General features: G+C 54.6%; 1 pseudogene, besides 1 other annotated feature; it reads left to right on the top strand.

The window, feature by feature from the left end:
- Positions 640-2,821, top strand: TUBB8P4 (tubulin beta 8 class VIII pseudogene 4; annotated as a pseudogene).
- Positions 2,244-2,437: a silencer, noted in NCBI's record as "fragment chr12:34318092-34318285 (GRCh37/hg19 assembly coordinates)". NCBI's record gives its function as "represses an EF-1alpha promoter that drives an FKBP-Casp9 reporter gene in an ReSE screen in HepG2 liver carcinoma cells {active_cell/tissue: HepG2}" and the evidence as "EXISTENCE:reporter gene assay evidence [ECO:0000049][PMID:32094911]".

Here is a 5,162-nt window from a genome sequence, read left to right as displayed (position 1 = left end):
TAAGAATCCAATATTACTTTCACTCTGCCTGGAGACTGCAGTCCTCTGGAAAGGTGAAAGGGCTAATCCTACTGTAAAGAAGACTAGCTAAATCAAAGGCCTGACTATCTCTGACCCCCATAGCTTACTGAGGGTTTGAACTGCTCCAAAGTTAAACTTATAATTAAGTCCTGTTGAGTTAACATATGGAAGGCCTTTCCTAACCACAGATCTCCTAATAGATGAAAAGACTCATCAATTACAAAAATATGTCACCAATCTAGGACAGGTGCAAAGGCACTCTGTGAATATGGAAACAAGAGTCTTCCCCTCCCCCATGGGAGGAACATTCAGTTTCAGCTCAGCTAGGGATTTAGTCCTACTAAAGACATGGGAGGAAGTTCTCCAGCTGACCAGCTTTCCCCAACGTGGAAAGGACAACAGCAAGGCCACCTGAGCTCTCCAACAGACGTTCAACTCCAAGGGATTCAGAGGTGGGTACACCTGTGAGGAAGTAAAGCTGTTGCTTATTCTGGGAGCCCAATCCGAGGTTGAGGGAGGTGGGCGTGGGGCTATTTCAGCGTTGGCGGAGGGCGGGCTGGGTCACTGCGCGTCTGCTCCTCCTCGCGTTTCTCCTGCCGCCCTAATCCTGCCTTGGCCATGAGGGAGATAGCGTTCACGCAGACTGGGCAGTGCGGGAACCAGATCGGCGCCAAGGTTGGCAGCCGGGGCTCTGAGGGCCCAGCTCGGGCCTGCCGGGTGGCCAGAGAAGATGTTGGTAGTGGCAGTGGCAGGGGTGGCGCCCCTGCGTTTGCGGCCCCTGGGCTCCCTGCTGGGGACGCGGTGGAACTGGCCGGCTGGCGAGACGGCCAGTGTGGACCTCAGGGACACTGCGGCCTAGGGATGGGGGTGCGGGTGGGGGTGGGAGAGGGACTGGGGCGCCTCCGGCGTCCTGGCCTCCTGACTCAGCCCTGGCTCGTCTGGCCCCTCCAATCTCTTGCAGTTCTGGGAGGTGAACTCTGATGAACATGCCATCGACTCCGCAGGCACCTACCACGGGATCAGTGACCTGCAGCTGGAGCGTATCAACGTGTACTACAATGAGGCCAGCGGTGAGACCCCAGTCCTTCCCCAACCACTCTCCTGGGAACGGCGACCCTCCCCTCGCTAATGCTCTCCGGTCCCACTCAGGTGGCAGGTACGTGCCCCGCACTGTGTTCATGGATCTGGAGCCAGGCACTATGGACTCTGTGCGCTCGGGGCCCTTGGGGCAGATCTTCAGGCCAGACAACTTCATCTTTGGTGAGCTGCGGGTGAGGACTGGGGTGCAGCTCCTTAGCCAGGGTAGCTCAAAATCTAGGAGTGCCCCAAGGTCATCGTTGTGGGAACTGTGGAGCCAGGGCCACTGAACACCCTCCTATCCTCCCACTAGCTCAATCTGCCTCTCCTAAACGGGCTTTGGGAGGAACCCCCAGGTGTCTCCTCAAGGTGAGGAGCTACTGATGTAAACTCCCTGTAGGCAGCTGAGCTGGGGCCGTGGCTACTGCCTTCTCTGGAAATGGGCAGGAGCCACCTGCAGTGAGGTCTGTTAGCCTGTCTCAGGTTTGGCTCCTGATCTAATTTCTAACAGGGGAGGCTGCTGTCCTGTAACTCTGGGGTAGGGGGTTTCATTTGCTCCACCTGCAGGGTGAATGGTGCTCTCACCTCACACGTGACACTTGGAGCATTTTGCATTGTGGTGACCACTGATGACCATATACCTGGCCATTGAGTGACTGACTGTACTGTCTTACAGGTCAGTGTGGGGCCAGAAACAACTGGGCTAGGGGGCACTACACAGAAGGCGCGGAACTGATGGAGTCAGTGATGGACATTGTCAGAAAGGAGTCTGAGAGCTGTGACTGCCTGTAGGGTTTCCAGCTGACCCACTTCCTGGGTTGGGGGACTGGGTCTGGGATGGGTACCCTTCTCATTAGTAAGATCCGGGAGGAGTATCCAGACAGGATCATAAACAAATTCAGCGTCCTACCCTTGCCCAAGGTGTCAGACATCGTTGTAGAGCCCTACAGTGCTCTCAGTCCACCAGCTCATAGAAAATGCCCATGAGACCTTTTGCATAGATAACGAAGCTCTATACAACATATGTTCCACTACCCTAAAACTGCCCACACCCACCTATGGTGACCTGAACCACCTGGCGTCTGCTACCATGAGTGGGGTCACCACATGCCTGTGCTTTCCAGGCCAGCTGAATGCTGACCTGTGGAAGCTGGTGGTGAACTTGGTCCCATTTCCCCAGCTGCATTTCTTCATGACTGGCTTTGCCCCACTGACCAGCCAGGGCAGCCAGCAGTACAGGGCCCTGCCCGTGGCTGAGCTTACCTTACCCAGCAGATGTTTGATGCTAAGAATATGATGGACACCTGTGACCCCCGCCATGGCCATTACCTAATGGCAGCAGCCATTTTCAGGGGTCACATCTCCATGAGGGAGGTGGATGAACAAATGTTCAACATTCAAAATAAGAACAGCTACTTTGACTGGCTCCCCGATAACAAAAACAGCCGTCTGTGACATCCCACCCCAGGGGCTAAAAACATCGTCCACTTTCATTGGAAACAACACAGCCATCCAAGAACCCTTTAAGCGTGTCTCAGAGCAGTTTACAGCAATGTTCAGGTGCACGGCCTTCCTCCACTGGTAAACGGGTGAGGGCACATACGAGACAGATTTCACGGAGGCCGAGAGCAATGTGAACGACCTTGTGTCGGAATATCAGCAATATCAGGATGCCACAGCTAACGAGAAGTTTGAGGAGTATGCTGAGGAGGAGGTGGCCTAGAACTTTCCTTTCCTGGGTAAAGGGGGGAAGCAGTGTGGATTCTTTACCGTGTTCTGACAGCCATATGTCACTATGCACTTGTTCATTTTTGTCTTCCCATCTCCTCCTGCTGCATTTTGAAGCACTTTTATAGTATGCGGTTTTGCCTAATAAAGTATTCTCATAGCATCTGGTTTCACCTCCAACTTCTTTCTATAGGCCCTGTGGCTACTGCTGCCAGATGTGCATAGTTGTCCTGCAAGGCTGAAGCTGTCTGGGCTTATCACATGCCCAGGAACAAGCATTCCAGTGGCTCCAGGAGGGGTCAGCATGGGCTGTGGACATGGCAGGCAGGCTTCACACGAACTTGGGGATGCCCTAGGTCTTGGGCAGCTATGTGGCAGAAAACCTGTTCCTGAAGGCAAGCCTTGGCTTATCCCATGTACCAAACTTCCAGGGGAACAGCTGGCCCTCTGTTCCTGGAACTTTAAAAGTGGTCAGTGACCCTGGTGGACAATGTCCCCAAAGTCCCACCTCAGGGTAGGGATGTGGTCAGACAGCTGGTTCTGAACCAGCAATGAGGGGTGGGCAAGTAGGACCCCAGCCACTCCATCACCATGAAGGCCTGGGTGTGTTTGTGTGGCCTCATTCTCTTAATGAGATAGGCATGGGATATCTGGCAGGGACTAGTGGGTAGGAATCGAACCCTATGTAGAAGGGGATTAGGTCCTGGGGGCCATAGATGGCAGTTGCTGGGCCTGTGTGCTGGGGGCAGTCTCTCCAAAGGCACAGATGGGGTTTCTGAACAGGATCTGAGGAGACAGGCAGGTGCTCACAAGTGCTGCTTCCCCCAACCGGCAACCAGTGAGAAAAACGTCTGAGTGGAGGTCTGACCTGCCCCAGTCTGGATGGCTGATGCTCTCTGGAAAGGTGGCTAATGTGCAGTGTCTGCTCTCTCCCTATCCCCCACTCCAAAACTTCAGGGCAAAGATAAGATTGTCAGGATGAGACTGGTGAGGCTGGCACCTTTGGGGATAGGCCCTTTAGCCTGGCAGAGTCTCCTTCCCAGGCTTCTCAGGGAGCCTGGACTTCAAAGCCTGCTTTGGGGAAGCTTCAAATAAGAGATGTGTGTGTCAGCTGGGTGCTGGGCAGCATGCCAGGACAGTGCTGTTTTACCTGGCTCTTGTAGAACTTGTTCACAGCCTGTGTGATGACCTCTTGGTAATTCCCACCCCACCCCCATCACACAGAAAAGATGAAGCCAGCATAGCCTGGGGGTGGGCAGATGAACAGGTTCTACCCCAGGACCCCCGGACATACACCTGCCTAACATGTGTCAGAGAAAAGAGGTGAGGCTCCTTTCTTTTCTCTGAATGTTGGCAATGGCCTATTGCAGCCAAATGGGAACAGGCTGGCAGGAGAGTGCCTCATCTCGAAAGAAGTGGCTCCTGGAAGCAGCTGGGAGGAGGGAGAGGTCCACCATACTCCCCCAGCCTGTTCTCAGAGCAGGCAAAGGGGCCTCTGTAATAGCCCTCCTCAATGGCTCTCACCCTCTGAGGGGTGTCCTTGCCCACTCCAGGTGTGCACCCATCTGAGATGGCTTCCCATGGATCTGTTTGGGAAGGTTCAGCTGCAGCAACCACTGGAACCTGCCCACACCTAGCGTCTCCACTCACATGTGGGGTCAGATGTTCCTCCCTCCTGTAGTGGTACAGCCAGAGTGGCAGAGGGGGCAAGTCACGGCTGCAGTTCCCACCTGGGTCTGAGTGGGGGGGTCAGGCTTGGTACCCATGTATTTCCTAATTACCTGGTTCCATCTGGGGCACAGGAGTGGTGCTTTTCCAGGCCTCTTTTCCATATGCCAGCTACAGGCCCAGGTTTCCAAAGTTTCTGGAGCCCCCCTTCCAGCCTGGCAAGTATGGCATGTTGTGGGGGAAGGACATCCAGCCTACAGGCAGCAGAACCTGTCTGGGTATGTTCTCTTCACCTGGAGGCCCCTGGTTGTTTACCTCTTTGGGTGAGAGTCAGCTTAGGATCTCAACATTCTTGCAGGACTTCAGAACTGTACAGACAAGGGCCCAGGAGGGAGCAGGGGCTGGGACTGGCAGCTAACCAGTGTAGTTGGGGGTTGTAGGGCTCAGTTCGGTCTTGCAGGGAATTCACGGAGGCTTGGATTTGTGGAAGCTCTAGATGAGCTTGGGCTTGGATATGGAAATAGCATAGAGCCCGGGCCCTTCTGCATGCTGCAGTCTGAGTAGCTGCACCCTGGTGCATCCATAGGTGTTCCCCACCTGGAGCACAGCTGTGGATAGAAGCCAGGAGAGCTGTGGAGGGAAGAGGAGGAGGAGGAGGAGGAGGAGGA

This window comes from Homo sapiens, chromosome 12 (genome assembly GCF_000001405.40).
Source record: "Homo sapiens chromosome 12, GRCh38.p14 Primary Assembly".
Taxonomy (NCBI): domain Eukaryota; kingdom Metazoa; phylum Chordata; class Mammalia; order Primates; family Hominidae; genus Homo; species Homo sapiens.
This window is presented reverse-complemented; position numbering and strand designations above follow the sequence as displayed.